The 20,557-nt window shown below is 42.5% G+C and overlaps 2 long non-coding RNA genes across 11 annotated transcripts in view; one reads left to right on the top strand and one right to left on the bottom strand.

The window, feature by feature from the left end:
- The first annotated feature begins 979 nt into the window (after positions 1-979).
- Positions 980-19,769, top strand: LINC01333 (long intergenic non-protein coding RNA 1333). 6 transcript variants are annotated; one of them, NR_197443.1, is made up of 5 exons: positions 980-1,250; positions 3,824-3,911; positions 5,205-5,330; positions 18,365-18,518; positions 19,377-19,769. It is a non-coding gene; the product is annotated as a long intergenic non-protein coding RNA 1333 (long non-coding RNA). The 6 variants fall into 6 exon arrangements; NR_197440.1 differs by lacking the exon at positions 980-1,250 and adding an exon at positions 1,894-2,401; NR_197442.1 differs by lacking the exon at positions 3,824-3,911.
- Positions 6,837-20,557, bottom strand: part of LINC01331 (long intergenic non-protein coding RNA 1331) — a 209,330-nt gene continuing 195,609 nt past the window's right edge. For 4 of the 5 annotated variants that reach the window (NR_126354.2, NR_197436.1, NR_197438.1 and 1 more), the window contains one exon: positions 6,837-7,678. This is a non-coding gene — a long non-coding RNA (long intergenic non-protein coding RNA 1331). Of the gene's footprint in view, positions 7,679-14,369; positions 14,462-20,557 lie in introns of all 5 variants that reach the window. The other variant, NR_197435.1, reaches the window with a different exon arrangement.

Raw genomic sequence — 20,557 nt, forward strand, 5'->3', positions numbered from 1 at the left:
TGTGCCTCATGCTAAATCTCCCCATCTTGAAATACAGTAGATCCCTGGTTTCATGTATTCGAAAGCCACCTGTAAGGCCTATGGCCTGTTCTTACCTGTCATGAATCTAAGCCCTGCACCCTGGAGTGGAGGCATGAGTGAGTCACTCTGCTAGGAGGGAAACTGCCACCCTCTGCATCTCAACATTGCCTTGTGGTTCTCTGCTTGTCATTTCGGAGGCAAAAACTCTCTTTGTGTTTCTGTTGTGGAAGAAATTATCATGATATTGGTGTAATTAGAAGCTCACAAATATCAGGGACCTATCAGACTTTCTTATTCTTTTCCACAATTTAAGCTTTTCCTCCTTCTAGAAGCCTTTCCCAGTGACTCTGACACTTGGTGTTTTCTCTCCTTTCTCTTTTCCAATGGCAAGAAAGGAACCTCTGACCCGCAAACAGGTAGCATAAGCTTCTATATGTTATCTATCTGATATAGTTTCTAAATTAATTTAGTTGAATAAACCTCACCACTTCAACCACAGTGTAGACTTTTTTGAAGATTAGAAACCAGGTCCTTACATCTCTTGCCTTCACATCACCAAGCACAAAGCTGGACACATTGCAGGTGCTCAATAAATATCATAAATTGTTGATCTAGAAACAGCACACTAAGGTCTCAAAAGAGTACATGAGAGCCATGGAGAAACAATGCGGTATAGTGATCCTCCTAGAGAGACACGTGTCTCCGAGGAGACATGGCCCCTTTCAAACAGCCACCTCAGTTCTCTTTTACTGCCCTATCCTTTCGCCGGGTTTCTCCTTTCAACCTTGAGAGATAACTGACATGGGCTTAGGATACTCAGTCATTCTGGAATTCTGTATCAGCACTGAAACATGAGTGGGGAAATTCTAAGAAATTTACTTCTCTTTTTCTTTTCATATTTTCCTCATTCCAAAGTGGAACTAAATCGAGGTTCCCTAGCAACCCAGGGCTCTGTGAAGATTCATTATTCTATAAAATCCCACCACCTTACAAACACAAAATGTTACAAGTTGCCCAGTCACCCCGGCTTCTGAGATGAAGAATATTATTGAAGTCAAATCTGGTGGCTATCACACTCCATGGAACTTGGGGCAACATTTAGGTACCTCTACCCAGGAAAGAATCTCTGAGAAATAGGTGGCAGTTTCTCTAGCAGCATAAGAAGAACCTTGATAAGCATCATCCTTAAGTCCTGACAGCAGTGGATGACTAGTCAGGAACCTGTCCAGGTAAGCGCACACCCTAGCAGGGCTCTGCTAAATGGCTCCAATGGCTCGGAGGCCTTACTGAACACTAGGGATTGATTTCTATTGAAAACCAAAAGGAAAATGAGAAACAATCGAAATCAGGGCTCCTTCCAACCCTGGCTCAATAGCCCTTTGTTTTGCATATTCTCTATGCAAGATGGTGAAATGTAGAGATACAATTAGAATATCAAGGCTAATGAAACTAATCATTTCAAATTAAGCCCATATACAACTGTGGCACCACAAAACTGCCTTCTCATCTCTGCTATCCTGGGGGAACATCCCAGATGCACAGGAAAAATTAGCTGTCTTTTCTGGAAATTAAAATGGTAAAATGCCTGATGCACAGAACATACTTCACAAATCTTAAGTGAGCCAAACGAGGCTTTTATCCCCTGACAGCAATCTTTCATGAGCTGGACAACTGTCCCCAGTGTGAGGCAGTGAAGTCTGGCTAGCACTCTGCACACAGGAATATCAAGGCCCCTTTTCCCTTTCATGCTTTGCCTCCTCAACCATACTCTCCCCTTTGTAATATCTCTGTCACTAAGGAAACCATGGTAACATCAGTGCTTCTGTTGAGCACAGTGGTCACTCAAAAGAGGCAGAGTGAGTTCAGCCTATCATTTGAGATCCGAGTATGATTGGGGAAATATCCTGAAATAGTCTATGATTTGAAGAAATGGATAGATGGCTAGAATAACATGCTAGATGGTAGTCAAGTTACTAACTGCAGAATTGATTTGATAAAATTCTCATCGTGTCTCCTGACTTAGGAGAAATATTGGGTCTGATGAATGGGTAAAATTCCCAGGTGAAAAGAATTTGGTCTGTAAGATTTGGCAGCACCCTGAGGTTTGCCATATCTGATGGCCTGGCTTTAGTGGCAGCACCTAGTGAAGGCCCAGGTGTCCTTCTGACAACCTTTACCACCTACCGTTTTGTCCTTACTTATGTTGAATCACTACACACAGGCTGTTGAATTCAGCTGTCTGTGGAGAAATTATACCAACCACATGGTTAGACAGAAGGAATACAATATATTGCTTAATTTGTATCTGAAAGCTAAGCAACATGGAAAAAAATCAAGCATGCTCAGTCACTTCCATGAGGACAAACGAAGACACTTCAAGGTAACCTTAGACAAAACACGTATTAATCTATAATCAGATGCCATTCAAAATAATAAGAGACATTGACCTGAATCTTAGAGCTGATGCAACTGAGTGTGTCACCTCAGTATTCAACCAGTAGGGGGTTGTTTATGGGGAGGGCTTCGGCTTGCCAATTAGAAGTCTTGGCTGATTCTAGCACTTTCTTGGCTGATTCTAGCACTTTCTGCAGGTTCTCTTTCTGCAGGTCAGTTACTTTGTTTGTAAAAGTGTACTCCTTCTTAGTAGCTATCAACTCCTTCTTGGTAGGGTTATTTCTTTTACTTCTTTGTATTCCTTCCACTATACAAAATACAAACCCTTGTTTATAGCTGATTCCCCAGTAAATTTCTGAAAGAACAAATGGATGAAAGAAGGATGATTTATGATATGTCCATGGTTGCTGAAAGAATGGGGAAAAATGTAAAATCACCTGAAAAGTTAATAGATAATAAATGCAAGAAGTTTTATTTGTAAAAAGCCAATAGATAATAAATAAAAGAAGTTTTATCCATGATAAGTAGATGCTGCTACTTTGTCAATGTCCCAGAGAAATACATGTGTCCAGAGAACATTTATTTGACCAATTCAATCAACCAACCAGAAATTCAGTTGAAACATCAGTTTGACAGGTATTGACTGAAGTGGCTGGGTAGCATAGTTGATCTTATTGGCCCTTTTGTGGTCCACATTTTAGTGGTGACCCAGTATTCCTCTCAGAAACCAGAAGGAAAGGAAAAAGGGAGGCAGGGCTTTAGCTATGCCATGATGTGGTTCAGAGAATATTGGATGAGAGCTAGTAGACCTGGTTTCTCCTCAGTCTTGGGGAGGGGCTTCCTGGCCATTGCTATGTGACCTCCCTCTCAGGACAGTACACTGAGAAGAGACAGAGCAAAGAGCTAGTCTGAAAGAGAGTGGACTATTGTCTGCTGGTCCCAGATCCATGCATTCTTCCATGCCTTCCTCTGTACTGCAGTCCACTTGCTAGAGGAAGGCTAGAATATAGGAGGAAGAAGGCTTTTTTGTCTGCTACTGGTAGAGCCACCAATAGCAGTAGTACCGAGGTCAGCAACTATGGGCTCTGGCAGCTCCATCGGTGACACTGAGCTTTAGCGGTGTCAGTCCTGGTTTCACCAGCATCAAAATGTAGTGTCCGGGGTTCCTAGTCAGAACAGCATAGATCCGACTGTGGCAATGGTAACAGCAGCAGCATCTTTAGAAACTCAGCAGACAGTGTGGGCTTGCAGGTTTCAACCCAGGTTGAAAAACCCCAGCTTCCTGATCTCTGGGGCACATTTCCCTCTCTGTGTGCTTCCCCAGCCCATCTAACACCTTGGTAACATTCTTTCTCCATTAATTCCTTCTGTTTGAAACATCCAGAGTAGTTTCTGTTTTTCTGTCTAGATAATGATTGATACACCTCCCATGCCCCACCTCTCACCCAGGACAGGATCGAAGTGTTGGGGGAGCCACAACCTGCTTCACCTAGAAAGTAAGAAAGAAAAAGAGAACTGAACAGTACCACACCTTACAAAGTTCAACCCCATTTTGAAAATTAAGGGTGGCTTATCAAATTTCCTAAGTCAGCCAACCCCTGGTGACATGTATTCATGGTGGTGCTGTGATGTGCCACTGAGATCCCCCATGAGGATTGAAGGATTTATCCCGCAGAAGCTGGAATTGCTCCCAAAATACAATCCCCAACTGTCAATCCTCTTCGGGATTTGTCTAGGCTTATGAAAACTAGGCAGAGGCAGCCCCCACCCAGTGACTGATCAGCAGGGAGTTATAAAGGCCCAAGCTCATATTCCAACAACGAAGCGCCATACCAGCTCCAGAGCTTCCCATGAAGTCAGCTGAGACCTTTGCTGGGACTACATCACAGCTCAAATTATCCCTTGTCCCAATCTGCCCCCTTCCCTTTTCTTCCATGGGAGTTTATCCCAAGAGCACTCCCTAATAAGCCCTACATACTCATCTCTGCCTCAGAACCTGCTGCCAAAGAGACATATATATGTGCTGGAGCTGCCGCAACAAAGTGCCACTGATGAGGTGGCCTAAACAACACCGACTTATTGGCTTACAGTTCTGCAGGCTGGAAATCCATGATCAAGGCGTCCGCAGCATTGGTTCCTTCTGAGGGCCGTGAAGGAAGGACTTGCTCCAGGCCTCTCCCCTTGGCTTGTAGAGAACTGTCTTTATGTTCACATGGCAGTCTCCATGTGTATAGATCTGTCTCCAAATTTCCCCCCCAACTTTTTTTTTTTTTTTTTTTTTTTTTTTGAGACAGAGTCTTGCTCTGTCACACAGGCTGGAGTGCAGTGGTACAATCTCAGCTCACTGCAACCTCCACCTTTTGGGTTCAAGCTGTTCTCCTGCCTCAGTCTCCCGAGTAGCTGGGACTACAGGCATGCGCCACCACACCCAGCTAATTTTTGTATTTTTAGTAGAGATGGCGTTTCACCATGTTGGCCAGGATGGTCTCGATCTCTTGACCTCGTGATCTGCCCCCTCGCCCTTCCAAAGTGCTGGGATTACAGGCATGAACCACCGTGCCCAGCCCAAATTTCCCCTTTTGGTAAGGACATCAGTCATATTGGATTAGGGCCCACCCTAATGACCTCATTTTAACTTGATTGCTTCTGTAATACCTTATCTCCAAACAAGGGCCCGTTGAGGTCCTGGGGGTTAGGACTTCACCACATGAATTTGAGAGGGTTGGGGGGAACAATTCAGCCCATAACAGAACCCAACCTGCAAACATATCAATTGTCTTTTCAACTAGGAGGACATTGACATGGATCTGCCAGCTTTCTAAGACTTTCCCCAGATTCAAGTCCAGTCACATCAAGTTGCCTTATTAAAGGGTCTGCCCACTCAAAAGGAGAAAGTGCAAAAGATGCTCAGCAAGGTTAGTTATGGGTTCCCCAGCACAGGCTGGCAATATTTTAATCAGGAATGACAGAGTCTGGTTCCCAGGCTAGAGGGAAACCTGAAATGGGGCATCTATTGGGAAATACGCATTTACAAGGAAACTATTTATTACACATAGCTGGGTGATGAGAAATGTGGCTGATCATTCACCTCTGGAAGGGTGTCTGGGAGTCTAACATAATTAGGCTCTTATGTCGTTTGTTCCCAAAATTAATAACAGTATGACAATGAATAAAGGTGGGAGGAGGAAGGTACAGGCAAATAGATGATAGATTTTTTTTTTAACTAGAAAAGGAGAACTTTTCTTTCTTTCTTTTTCTTTCTTTTTCTTTCTTTCTTTCTTTTTTTAAATTTTGAGACAGAATCTCACTCTTTCACCCAGGCTGGAGTGCAGTGGCATGATCTTGGCTCACTGCAACCTTCACCTCCCAGGTTCAAGAGATTCTCCTGCCTCAGCTTCCCAAGTAGCTGGGATAACAGGCGCGTGCCACCACACTCAGCTAATTTTTGTATTTTTAGTAGAGACGGGGTTTCACCGTGTTGGCCAGGCTGGTCTCAAGCTCCTGGCCTCAAGTAATCCACTGGCCTTGGCCTCCAAAGTGCTGGGATTACAGGTGTAAAACCATCATGCCCAGCCCTATTTTTTCAATTTACTGATAGAGTTATCATGGTATTCCTATGTTTTTCTCCGCGTACACATTGCCTTGCTTTCAAGCTGAAAATGTGAAGATGCTTTGCCGTAGAAAGCATTGTCACAGTAAAACGCCTTAAGAGTCAGCATTTTGTTAGTGGGGGCAGGGTAGCAGGAAATGTGGGCTATAGAGAAATTTATGCATGAATGCTTAAAAGCAACCTAAAGCCAGCCTGCACTTTGGAACTCAAGTTGGTGTTACAGTCTGTATCTGGAGCCATCAAAACCATGTTGGGATGGGGCATTTGAAGGAGTACAAACAGGCAGGGTTACAATCTGGCCCTGAGCCCTAAATCCCAAGAACACTGGCCTCAAAAACATCAGAAAGCAATGGAGGTCTGAGAATCAAGTGCAAATGTTCTCATGTGCCAGGAAAACCTAAGACAGCTATTTTCACAGTATATTGGGGCTTGGCCAGGTTCCAGAAACCATCAGCAAAGTAGCCTGCCTTGATACTTCAAAGGAAGAAGTCGCACTGATAAATCCTGCCCACACTTTCCACCGCACACACTTCATCTTGAGGTATATAATACCACAACAATGAGTCACTGGGCTGGAGCCTGAGGCCTGTCCACAGGACAGAAAGAAAGAAAAAAGTCTCTCACATCTGTTGTCTAGGGCAATTCCCCTCACTCTTCAAAACTGCATAAAAACAGAATAATAAAAACTGTCACAGGACAAATGAGTTATGGCCTGGTTTACCTGTACAGTGTCCCTCAGTAGAACTATAACGAAGTTGGCCCACCATTTTTCTTTACCACATTTTATCACATTTTGATAAAACTCATCAGACAGGGAGGAACCAATCTACTTTATTCCTTAGATTCAGCTCAGATATCTTAGGAGGACTTTAAACCATGAGACAAGCTGAGAGCTTTTCTTTAACATACTTACACACTCATACCTTGGAAAGCCTCTGTCTTCTGAATTGTATTTGGTGTAAATGAAAATTCAGCAAATATTCACAAGAATACCCAAGGTAAAGAATATCAAGCCTAGGTGTCATGGACGAGAAGAAAGCAACAAGGGGATGCCAAGGTCAAGAGTAGGGCCTTTGCTTCTTAGTGGGGGTTGGGCAGGAAGAAATCATAAAAATTCCTTTTCTATAAATCCTGCACTGTCTGGACTGCTCATGGGCTGACTGGCAATTTGGTCAGGCAATAGACTTTTCCCATCTGGTCATTTAGCGAGGGTCTATGGAAAGATAGTGGAAATCGTCTACATCTTTTGCTGAGTAAGACAAGAAAGTCAACGAATGCAGCGACTACATAGTATACTGGAGGCTAAAGTCTTAAGAGACACATTGGTTTAGATGTGTGCACGTGGCCATGTTTGCTTTGGGGCAGTTTTTTGGACACACAGACACGTCTCCACCCACTCGTTTACCCCTACCCCATTCCCACCCTTACCCGCACCCCCACCTCACTTTGTTCTTAAGACTATAGTTATGCATAACTGCTAAGAGTAAACACTTTCCAGATGACCTACACAAAAATCCTTTTCCAAAGACTCTTCTTGGTTTCAGGTGAGTTCTCATTTTCCTTCACTCAAGTTTTGTTTGTCTCCCCCAGGGTAGCAAACGCAGTCAGATGATACTTCCTGACAGCATCCAAGAGCAAGTCTCACCACCACATCTGTCAATAAAAAAGAAAACAAGGAGCTGCCAATTTGTCTATTTATAGGTGCCAATAAAATCCTGCACAGAACTTTAGTCAACAAGACTATTTCAGAAGGGGTGGCCAACAGTGTGGCCTTTCACTGGCAAGGGCCACCTTTGTCATCACTTAAGAAAGAAAACCTGCCAAGTTTTCTGTGAGGCCCTCAATAAATCTTACTGAGTATTTCCATACACATCAGCCACCTTAACTTGAGGAAAGCCAACTTGGTGAGCATTATGTTGATTTACCAAGATAAGGAGCCTAGAGTCTATGGCAAGAAGTTCTTGAGGCCCCTCAGGGAGTGTCAAACAGTCCAACCCATAGGCAGGGGAGGAGGAAAATTACACCTCTCCTTCAACACCTCCAGAGCCCAGGATCCTGCCACCTGTCAGAGCAGAGGGGCAGTGGGTGTTGGCATGGCCCACAAGATGCCTCCAAGGAGAGAGGCACTGAGACAGGGGTTGCACTGGGGTTTCTAAATCCTGGGAGCTGAGAGTCAGATCCAGGATACACACTGGGGTTCCCATTGCCTAGCCCTAAAACATGGCAGTTGTGGTTAGCTCTGGTGAAGCAAAAAGACCACCAAATTGAATTCAGATAATTAGTTCTAATTATGCTAACTCTACCACTTTCTGCTTTTTAGAACTTGAGCAAATTACTTGATTTTTTCTGAGCTTTATGCAGTTCTTATGAAGACTAAATAAAAAGGTATTCAATATTAATAGGTAGTTTATTAAGCATTTCCTGTAAGCCAATGACAGTGCTAAGAACACAAATATCCCAGTGTTCAGATAGGAATTGTAAAGGGTGGAGACAGTAACTTGCCCAGAGCCACACAGTTAAACATGGCAGATATCTTATACATATTTTGGCTATTTTGTTTATCATTTTAGAACCACGAGAACACCTCAGCTACCACTATAACATGAATTTTTTTAATCCAGTGCCAATTTTATTTTTTGGTTGTTTGTTGGCAGAACACAAAACTCATAAAAAGCTTCACCCAGGATAGCCATTGTTGTGTGATAAAGTTGGGAGATTGATTAAAACGGCAGTGACATTGTGGTATTATTTTTGTTTTGTGTTGTTAGTGGCCAGATCCTTCACAAACACCTGGAAACTAGTGTGGCTTCTGGTTCTAGCCATTCGGTAACAGCTCTGAGGCTGAATAAATTGGACGTGAGAATGTGACAGTGAAAGACGGCTTGGGAACACCCAGGGTCTGAATAAAGCTTAGAAAATACACCACACCTTTATAGAAAAAGTAGATTTCTGTTTTATAAGGGAAAGATTGGCAGGAGTTCCAGGCCAGCTGCCCCCAAGAAAGAGGTAACTATTTAAGCCAATAAGGTTTCCATCTACACAAGTGCTCAAGTGGAAACCAGCCAACCAGAGTTAGCAGTTCTGTGGCAGAGAATCTCTGAAATCACCGCTGTGTTCTGAAATCACAGAACAGAGGCCTCCCAAGCTTGCCGAGCCACTCAGCCTCACAGAGCCTCATTTCCACTTCTCTAAGATGTAGGGACTAGATCATGCAAAATGGTCTAACCAAAGAGTAGATTTCTTTGAGGTTTCTTTCTGTTCCAAAATTCTGAGATTCTTAATTATGTCGAGGAAGCCACTTCGAAGCTGCTTTAGATAAAATAACCAGAATCCAAAATAAAGTTCGGCTTCAGCTGAGCATAATATTCCTGACACTTTACACCAAGCTTGTCCAACCCGTGGCCGGTGGGCCGCATGCAGCCCAGGACAGCTTTGAATTTGGCCCATACACTTCCTTAAAACATTATGAGATTTTTTTTTTTTTTTTTTTTTTTTTAGCTCATCAACTATCGTTAGTGTTAGTGCATTTTATGTGTGGCCCAAGACAATTGTTCTTCCAGTGTGGCCCAGGGTAGCCAAAAGATTGGACACACCTGCTCTACAGTGTGTATTTTCTTTCACAGTGTCTTAAAAGGAACACATTTCAAAATCCCTACATTTTTCTTCTTTTTCTTCTCCCTCTTCTCCTCCTTCATCTTGTTTGCCATCATTATCATCATGATTGTACTTAGGGTATTTGTTTAATGTGTTTGTTTTTACAGAAAGTGCCTTTTGCAAGCCACTGCTCCTACTGACCTAGTAGTGGAAGGTAAACTGAGTGTCACAGAACTCCAAGCATCCTCACATGTGCACTGAACAAGAAAACTGTGGAGTGCCTGCCCACTCCAAGCCACCTGCCCCACGCCACCCCAAGGGGTGCCCACCAACAGCCCCAAGGGAAGGGGTTCTTCGAGCATAAATTGCTAGGTTCAGATCAGGTTCAGATCCTCATTCGCAGGTGATTGGTCTGAACCCTGTATCAGTCAGGGTTCTCTAGAAGGACAGAATTAAAGGAATATATATATGTTTATTAAGTATTAACCCATATGATCACAAGGTCCCACAACAGGCCATCTGCAGGCTGAGGAGCAAGGAGAGCCAGTCCGAGTTCCAAAACTGAAGAACTTGGAGTTTGATGTTTGAGGGCAGAAAGCATCCAGCATGGGAGAAAGATGTAGGCTGGGAGGCTAGGCCAGTTTCTCTTTTCACATTTTCCTGCCTGCTTATATTCTAGCTGTGCTGGCAGCTGATAAGATACCAGATTAAGGGTGGGTCTGCCTTTCCCAGCCCACTGACTCCAGTTTTAATCTCCTTTGGCAACACTCTCACAGACACACCCAGGATCAATACTTTGTATCCTTCAATCCAATCAAGTTGACACTCAGTATTAACCATCACAATCTAGGTGTAGAAGTCTCACCTCAGAGCAGCTCCTCTCTGAGTCGCCCTGACACAAAAGCTGAGCCTAACAAAGACAAGGGGGATCAATGGAAGCACTCAGAGTCCCTCTCTAGAAGCGTCTAAATGAGAATCATAGAGCTATTCATGAGTGGAAAGGTAGGAAAGAAACCGAAGCCCAGAGGCCTTCAGCAGAAACCTAGAGTAGCAGAAGCCACAGGCAAGAGGAAGCCTGGGCAGGCAAAAGCTAGGGGAAAGCCTGCAGTCCTAGACAGCTAAAACTGAATGACATGCAGAAGAGCAATGAGATACTCGGTTGTGCAGTGGCACAAATAGTAGAAAATTAGAAAACTCCTGCTGCTCTAGGACCACAAGGCAATCCAGCTCCCAGAGTTGCTTCTGATTCTGTGTAACCTCCTAGTTCCTGATGGACATACCATTCTCCATGAGTTTTGGCTCTTTGCAATTCCCCCATGAGGTCTGGTACAGATTTCTGCCTACATATATCCACCAATGAATCTCAATTTCTTCATTGTAACCTGAGTCAGTCTCTCATGCTGATCATCAAAAGGCCTATTAAGTATAAAATGCTGTATGGACTTACTGTCTGAACGATGACTCCTAACCTGCTCACAACTCCACTAACATGGATGCTTCTGTTCTGGGAAATTCCAGGGTTTGTCTTCTGTTTCCATTGAATTGACCACTTGCCTGTTTTTCAAATGCTCTAAACCTTCTATTTACATAATGCCTTTGTACCCTCTCATGTACTTCTCATACTGTCTCTAGCCTCTCATAACTAAAAGTACTGATACTATTACTTCAATTACCATTTTACATTTGTACTTTTCCTGACAGATTTTTCCGTAGTACTTTTCCAGGCAATTTCACCTGCATTATCTCTTCTGAATCTTGTAATAGACTTATGATGTAACAATAGTAATTATAATACCTAATATTTACGTGGTGTTATATAATTTGAAGACCATTTCACACACAGAATCTCATTTGGCCAGATCCATTTAATGAAGCTGTGGGGTGTTTTTCTCATTTTACGGATGAGAAAACTGGGTTCAGGGATGACAACCCATGCAAGTCCACACAACAAAGAATGATTTCTCCCGGCTGTCACTTCGGTGCTAAAATGCTCTGTAGTTTTTCTTTCTGCCACAGACACCCAGGAGCTTCTCTTCGCTGTGTTCCCGTGGCATTGGAGTGTGTCTCGTTTCTTGTCTTCATTAAGTCAATGGTCCTTTAGGTTTAGCATGCACCATTTATGTGACTGGGGTCTGCCCACATGATCTGGGAGTAGCCATTTAACAAGAAAATCACCTTTGTCTTCCATAGGTGCACTAAAAATACATTGATCATATTAATTTAGCACTTAGAACTGTTTCTCTCCAGTCCCTTAATTTAATATAAATGTGTTCCAGAACCCAGCTACCTGAGGCAGGGCTTCACTTGAATACAGAGGGCTTTTATTTTTCAGTACAAGGAAACTGATTCTTTCAGAGTTGCGAATCAAACCAGCCTGCTATACACACATTGTACCATTACAGCTTGTAGGATGGAATGTTGAGATCATTTTAGCTTGAGAGAGAAAGAGAAAGACTCAAAATATAAATTGTTCTTCATTTTTATCTATAACAAATGTGGTTGCTCTAATGATAGCACATGAAGCGGGTTGTTTTATCATTCCTTAAATAAGACCTTGACATTCAGTACCTCCTCTTCCTGTCATTTGAAAGCCAGGAGAGTTTAAATTGTGTTCACCCTAGTATCTGTTCTTCCCAGGCACGCAGATGGCTGATGCAGTTTATAATGGTAACTCTGGTGATTAGAGCAGCATTGCGCACATAATAAAGCAAGCAATATGCAAACAGCATGAGCTGGATTCTGGAGGGCTCCTCCACAGGGTCTGAACTACTGCAGAGCAAGGCATTTAGAAAAAAGGTGGCAAATTCATGGCCATGGGTTCCACACCATCAATCAAGGCTTTCTTGCTGATAATAGATATAGCTTCTGATTCTTTAAAATATAGAATTCTGGGTGCTTACTTACCAATCAGATCTGACTACAAGACGAAACTTATTTGCCATTTAAAAATTAGACGATCCCTAGCAAACAAGACTGCCAAGGATTGATCTTGGTCCCATGACTAATGGACCCCATGACCTGGTCCTACTACAAATGAACCCCATGGCCCTTGCTGTAAAGGTGACAACTCAAATATGTCACCTTATGTCGTAAAAGTGCACTTGACACTTACTGCCCCATTCGTATTGGGAACTACATTTACACTGATTCAAGGGCCACACTCCAATAATACTGGACAGTGGCTCCCCAACATATCACATGGTTCCAAACCTCTGTGCCCTTACATACCCTGTTCCTTCTGCCTGGAATGTCCTTTCCCTTCTAGGTGACTTATAAATCCTCTTGACATTTCAAGACTTCAAGATTAAATAATAGCAACTATCCATAACTCACTTCCTTCCTGGGTTATCTGCTACCCTTTCCCAACCCCTGCCAACCCTAGGCTAAGTGATGCACTCCTCTTCTGTGCTAACCATGTACTTTGGACATTCCTCTGTCATTCACTTATCTCACTGACATTATTAGTATTCATAGTGCTACTTCTGTGTCTGTCTCCCTAATAAAGTACAAGGCCCTTGAGGATAACAACACTCTCTTACTTATCCCCAGCACCAAAGTCAATGCCTAGCACACAGTAAATGCTCAGATGTGTGACAGAAAAATACATGGATTCATTTGTGAAAAATTAAAGAAGTGGGTACGTAATAAAAGGCAAAGGCAATCCTCCATGTGTTCATGTTTGCATCATTCAGAGGCAACACTTCCCACTCTACTCCCCTTTAAATTACAAATTTCTGCACGAAGACACTTGGGCTTCCTTCAGTGTATTAGTTAAGAGTGCATGTAGCTGCACAACAAAAAAACCTGAACAATCAGTTTAAACAAGCAAGGGTTTATTTTCTCACATAAGAAGTCTGGAACAAAGTGGCTGCTGATGTTGATTCAATGGTTTGCCATTATCAGGACTCGAAAATTCTATTCAATTATCCCCTCAAGATGTTTCCTAAATCTCTGGAGATAACTCCAACAGTCAGAACAGGAAGAAATGATAAGGGGGTTCCAGCTACATCTGCCTCCTCCCCAGACTTCTGCTCATATCTCATCGGCCAAAACCAAGTCACATGATCAGGGGATATGTCTCACCCCCAAAGGTGAGGGAGGCTGGTAAGCTGGAAGGAAATTATCCTGACTGACTTGGGCCAGGCATGATCCATCACTAGGGCTGGGCACATTGTCTCCTAAACCAAATCATAGTTCTCTTGGTAAGAAAGACAGGAGAACTAGATATTGAGCAGACAACTAAAGCATATGCGGATTCAGAAAATAGCTCAGCACTTTAAAAATAAAAGATTACATCAGAATGCAAAAGAATCAACATTCACCACTCACTGTGAATCTTAAGGTTTCTCCTTTAAGACCCAATGAACATGACTTCAGGTGCCCTCCTGACTGCTCCACTGCCAGGACTAAGGCTAAGGCCATGGCTTTGCAGCAATGACTTCACTATGCATTCAGCACAGATCTCTGAAACAGGAAGCTCGCCCAGATGTACTCAAATTCTGATTTTATGATATTACAACAATGAAATATCCTGTTCATTCAAGGAGCATCTCTGGAAAGGTGCTGATACACTGCTGGTGGGAGTGTAAACTGACACCAGCATTTTGAAAAGCAGTTTGACATTTTCTAGTTGTTCTGAAATTATACCCAGGACTTAATTTATAGAGGCATGACTGAGTGACAACACAGAGAAGCTAATGCCACTGTAGAATTTATTACTTCATTTCCCAAGAGAAGGGGGCATGCTTACCATGCAGGGCCACGTGGGAAGCACCGGTATGATCAGGAGGCAGAAGACAGGAGGTAGGGGAAAGCTGGGGGCACAGCCGTTATGACGGTTTCCTTGAAAAGGGAAGGCAGGGCAGAGTAAACAGTTTAGGATGAGCTAGTTTGAATAGCCTCTATCAGCCCTTGGGTTACAGGGTTGATCTCAAGTTGCCTGGAACTTGGCCCTGGGATAATTTAGGGCAGAAGAAGTATTGGCTTGGTATGTGAGAGTTAGATAAGGAAGGCGGTTGGGACTATAGATCCTGGATTTGTTGGCTTGTATATGAAAAGTATGCTCTTGGCCAAGCCCTTTGCAATCTCTAGGAATTGGCTCACCCTGGGAGGGGCAGTATCTCCCTGGGTCTGCAAGGCCCCCAAATGCCAGAGAATCAAGAATACAGAAAATGAGAAAAAACAGTTAATATACTTGGCCCTGTGATGAGTGGATGCCAAATAGACACACACAGAACACTAGTCAAGTTGAAGATATACATCTCTATGATCCAGAGATTCTATTCCTACATAAAAACCCTAGAAAAAATGCATGCACCAGGGAACATACCCAAACGTTAATACCAGTGGGTAAATAAATACCCAACGGGAGTGGGTAAACTGTAGCATATCCATACCCTGGGATGCCAAATGGCAATAAAAACAGATCAACTAGAGATGCGCTTAACATTAATGAAGCTCATAAACAATACAGAGTGAAAGAGGCGAAGATACAAAATAATATCTTGTATATGATTTTCCTTATCTAAAGTTCCAAAGCAGGCAAAACTAAACTATAGTGCTTAGGGATACAGAGGTGGTCAAACTGTAAAGAAAGTTGTGATCACCTTAAAAGTCAGAATAGAGTGCTTTCCCCTGGGAGATGAAGGGTTGTGGGGGGAAAGTAAGATGAGGGTTCCTGGGGTACTGATGATGTTGCATCCTTTGAAATAATGGTGTTCATTATTTGTTATACTAGACTTTTCTGTATGTATGCTATGTTTAATGATTTTTAAAGGGGTAAAAGAAAAAATGTAATTTATAGTCATTAAATGTCATTTATTAGGTACATAACCTCCCTTTATCAATGTAAAGCCTGCTGCTATAGTAGAAAGGTAAAAAAATATATATAATCTTCTTCTGGTATACCATGACTACTGTAGCATAAAATATATGTTTATGAAAAATAAATTGACCTGGTGTTTTTTTGATGACCCTAAATTCTCACATTATCTTGTCTGCCTGGAGCCAGGCCCTCAAAAACGTGGTTGCTAGTGTTTGCATTCTCCCTCCTGGGTCACCTCTTCCACAGAGGCAAATTTGAAAGCTGTTTCTGGAAGCCAGCATTGGCTGGTATTATGACCATATATAATTTTTTATATTTTTTAAGTAAGGAGGAATTATAAACTTCTTGAAGTTGGGAGGCAAAGAGATGCATCAAGGATAATTACATCCTGCCTGCTTCGGTGCCTCCTGTGGCTGCAACTGGATATGGTGCCCCTTCTTCATTTCCCATCCTAAACCAGTGTGCACTGCTGCTCTGTGTATGAAACAGCTGCCGGGGCCCTCCGCAGGCAGCTGCTTCTGGAGGTTGTGCGAAATGAGTCTGATATCCCTGGCGCCTCAGCACCTTAGCTCTAGGGTCCGTGATATGCTTCAGTGTACAGGTAAAAATTACGTGCTCAAAGCTTGAGATTTGCTTTTGGCTGCTTATTTTGTAAGCACCAAAGATCAGCATTTTATGGGGAAGCTCACATTCTCAGCAGGGGTGGGGGCTGAGGGGGGTATCTAATCAGCTGAGTGGCTTGAATTTTTGCCCTTGAACCAAAGCAGGTAGCAAGGGAGATACAAGGCAGTACCAGGACCACTCTGAAATCTTGAGGAAAAACCTAATTGCATAGCCAAGTGCGTTACTCTGGCTGGAGTTGGCAAGAGGCCTAAAGGGTAAAATGCTGAAAGTAGGGGCAGTATGGTAAAGGTTTTTCTGTTTTGTTTTGTTTTTTGGTTTAATTTCTGGAAGAATTTACTTATGCTATTAGATATTGTAGTGTTAAAGTGAAGAAGGGTTTTGTTAAAAAAAAAAAAAAAGAAATCTGCTAGGAAAACAAAGAAAGACAGGGATATACAGGGAAAGAGATTTAAAGAGAGACAGAACACGAAGGAATACAGAGATGGATAGAGTTCCTAAAAGCAGAAACATGCTGAAAGACAGAGGTTTCTGTCCTGACAGTGGACAGGAACTTCCCTTGCCTTTGTTCATTCTGGAGGGTAAATATGTCAAGTTAGAACTCTTTGCACTCTCCAGGTTAGTACCGTACTTAAACCCATTTAATTACTGTGATGGATTGCATTCTTACCACCAAAAACCTTGTTCTCACTCGCCCTAACTACTAATGGGCTATAAATAGGGCCTTTAAAAAGGAAACCATGTTTGATGTGGATTGTGTTCACCTGTGTTAATGACCTGCTGGGGAAACAGATTAGCTGCTGTCTGCCCATGACACTGCATCATGCATTTTACCACTGACCTGGTCTGGCCCAGTCCAGCGGGACAGAGGGCACTGCCCTGACTGTATATAAATCCAGGCTTTTATTGTGAAAAGAAACATCTCCAGTGAAGGAGAGCATTTATAGCAGGACAGAAAGAGCTCCAGTTATTGTTTGGTAAGCAGTTGAGTCCTAGGAGACTCTTCCAGGCGATGAGCAACTTCAGCTGGAAATAACTAAACAGCTCTAAAGGGAACGGGGGCTAAGGGGAAGGGGAAGTAATGAGCTCCAAGCCACGAAAGAGTTAGAGCATAATTAACTCCCCCATGGTCTCACTGATGGTGTAGCGGTGCTGTCCAACCCTCCCAGCCCTTCCTCTTCAGCTAGAATTAAAGTTTAATTCAGTCTCAAAAGGGCATTAGGAAAAAAGCACTGCACAGTACAACAGGAAGAAATCAATGAACTTTACGGAGAAAAGATTACAACGTGGCTGCTCCTTCCTGCACAGTTTGCAGAGTGGGCTGACTTTAAAGTGCAACTATTGGATCATCTGAAGTAGACTGAAGGAAGTCTAAGTCTGGGCCATTTGGGAGAGAAAATGATGGAAATAGCTGTCTGATGCCTGGAGAAGCTATTTGTTTTGACTACTGCTGCTGCTATTTTCCTGAAGGTTGGAGCTCACAGGACTGGAAAATCAGCACCCTGAGCTGAGTAAAAGTATTTTCTTCAAACAGCTGGGAGGCCCTGTGCTTTGGCAGCTACATGCCTTTTTGGGTGTTCTGTGCTCAGGACAGGGAAACCTATTGTCAGTGGCCTATCTTCCACATTTCACAGCCACGGCAGATCATCATTAATACCTCCTCCTCTATTCAGCAAAATTATTTCTATCAATAATTGGAAATTTTAAAAATAATGTGGCCAGGAAAGGCAGTGAAAATTTTTCTTTACTATATTTTTATACAATATAGCCCTGCAAGAAAGAAAGGAAGAAAGGAAGGGAGAGAGGGAAAGTTTATTATACATACATAAAAGGGAAAGGCACAACTATTTATTCAAGGGTTTTATATCCACCTTACAGCATGAGCTTTGATCCTTTCTTTACAATATATTATTTTATATAAAGAATTGTCCAGCGACATCTAAATAAATTTTAATAAAACCAAAATGTCTACAAAAAATACAAGTCAGGCAGCTATGAAATCATACAATTGTGGTACTATTTTATTTACTGGATTCATTATTTAGTTTTAAAAGGAATAATTATAATTTTAAAAGAAGAGTGCATTTCCATTTTAAAGCTATTATTTACATTCAGTAAAACAGTTTATGTATGAACTAGAATATGCACTTAACAAAAATTTCATACCGCACCAATTTTCAGTGTTTCACCGTTTCAAATTTTAAACACAAACACTCAAAATGTTTGAGTGTCAGAAATGAGGTAATTCAACTTGTTTCTTTGTCTTTTGCAATCCTTGTTCTTTTTCAAATCTACTGTAGGAATATCCAGCACAATAAGCATTGAAGAAACAAATGGCAACGCAAGCTTAAAGAATTCCAAGCCATTATGAACTGACTCTTCAAATAAGTGCTTATTTTCACATAACCAGGGAGTTTCTGGATTAACTTCCATATAAGACATATTTATTAAAAGGTAAATAATTTGGCCGGGCGCGGTGGCTCATGCCTATAATCCCAGCACTTTGGGAGGCTGAGGCAGGCGGATCACAAGGTCAGGAGATTAAGACCATCCTGGCTAACACGGTGAAACCCCGTCTCTATAAAAATACAAAAATAGCTGGGTGTGGTGGCACGTGCGTGTAATCTCAGCTACTGGGGAGGCTGAGGCAGGAGAATCGCTTAAACCTGGGAAGTGGAGGTTGCAGTGAGCTGAGATTGCGCCACTGCACTCCAGCCTGGGCGACAGAGCGAGACTCCGTCTCAAAAAAAAAAAAAAAAAAAGGTAAATAATTAAAATGTGCTGATTTGAAGCCTATATAGCATTAAAACTCAACAGTAACCACAACTATTGTTTAACATTTAGATCATTGAAAATTTTGTCAGGGAAGAGTTTTTATTATGACATTATTTAGAAGTGGGGGTACATGGTGCTATTAGAAAATGGATCTCAGGGATTGTATGCAGTATTTCAAGCAGCTGGGCGTGGTGGCTCAAGCCTGTATCCTAACACATTGGGAGGCTGAGGGGGGTGGATTGCTTGAGCCCAGGAGTTCAAGACCAGCCTGAACAACATAGTGAGCCCACATCTCTACAGAAAATACAAAAATATGCTGTGCATGGTGGTGCATGCCTGTAGTTCCAGCTACTCGGGAGGCTTAGGTGGGAGGATCACTTGAGCCTTGGAGATGAAGCCTACAGTGATCTGAGATTGTGCCACTGCACTCCAGCCTGGGCAAAGGGAGTGAGACCGTGTCTCAGGAAAACAAAAACAAAAAAGCAAAAAACAGATCCCATTTTAGTTGATTTGTCATTGTTTTTTAATTCTTTACAGATTTGCACCCCTATTGCTGGCACTGGGTGGACCTCCCCAAACGCTCTGCCCTTGGTGCTCTTCTGCCGGTTATTCTCGTCCATGACCCCAGAGCCAGGGAGAATCTCACCAGTGCAGCCCAGGGCACTTCTGATAACATCTGAGCAGAGTGAAGGAGAAGAAACGCACGAGGCAGGCATCTCATTTATGGAAGTGCTCCTCTGGGTCAAGCCCTCTGCCAATAATTTTCATGCATAATGGCCCTTTCATTCTCCCCAAAAATTCTTCAAGGGAGGGTGATAATCCCAGGATATGGAAACAAGGAAAAGCAGACTACAAGAAGTTAAGTGACCTCCCCAATGACCCGCTGCTCATAAATGGTAGTATCAGAATTAAAACCCAGATGAGGCTGCCCAGGACTGAGGTTTGTGTTACCCCCCGAAGGTGCGCACCATGGAGAATGGCCTGGAGTTTCCTGGCTGCATGTAAGTGCAGGAAGACATGCTAAGGGTACCACCGCTCTCAGTAGAGCAAGCACACTTCTCTCGGGCTCTTTCCTGAATTCAAGTAATCACACCTCGCACACCAACCCACTGCCAAGAAAGAGCTTTTATTTGACTCAGGAGGTAGAGAAAGTTTCACTGAAGGATTTCTAAATTTGTTCTCTTTCTTTCTTCCTTCCTTTTCTTTCTTCCTTCTTTCCTTCCTTTCTCTTTTCTTTCTTTTGTTCATTCTCTTTCATTTTTCTTTCTTTTTTTCTTTCTCTTTCTTTCCCTTGTCCATTCATTCGCCTTTCCTTTCTTTATTTTTCTTGGCTTTTTTCTTTCATTTCTTTATATTCCCCTCTTTCGCTTTCTCTGAATTTTTATGTCTCTTTTTTGTTCTTTTTTATTCCCTTTTTAACCCACTTCCTTAACAACATCTGTATCTCGGGTGAAATTGCTGGAACTGTCACATTAAGTTCCAGAGAATTTCTCATTTGGGACCTTGCATATCACACATGGCTCCAAGGGGCTGATGGATTCCTTTTATGTCCTCTTTACTACTAAAGTTTATAGGGAACATCTTGCGTCTCTCTCTTTTCTCTGCTACATTAAAAATGATCATCTAGCTCTCCATATGGCCAAAGTTTGAGGTCTTGCTTACTGGTTAGTATTGATTAGTACTTATTCATAACTGGTATAATATTTTTCCTACAGAGT

The sequence above is a fragment of the Homo sapiens genome, chromosome 5 (genome assembly GCF_000001405.40).
Source record: "Homo sapiens chromosome 5, GRCh38.p14 Primary Assembly".
In the NCBI taxonomy this organism is placed as follows: Eukaryota; Metazoa; Chordata; class Mammalia; order Primates; family Hominidae; genus Homo; species Homo sapiens.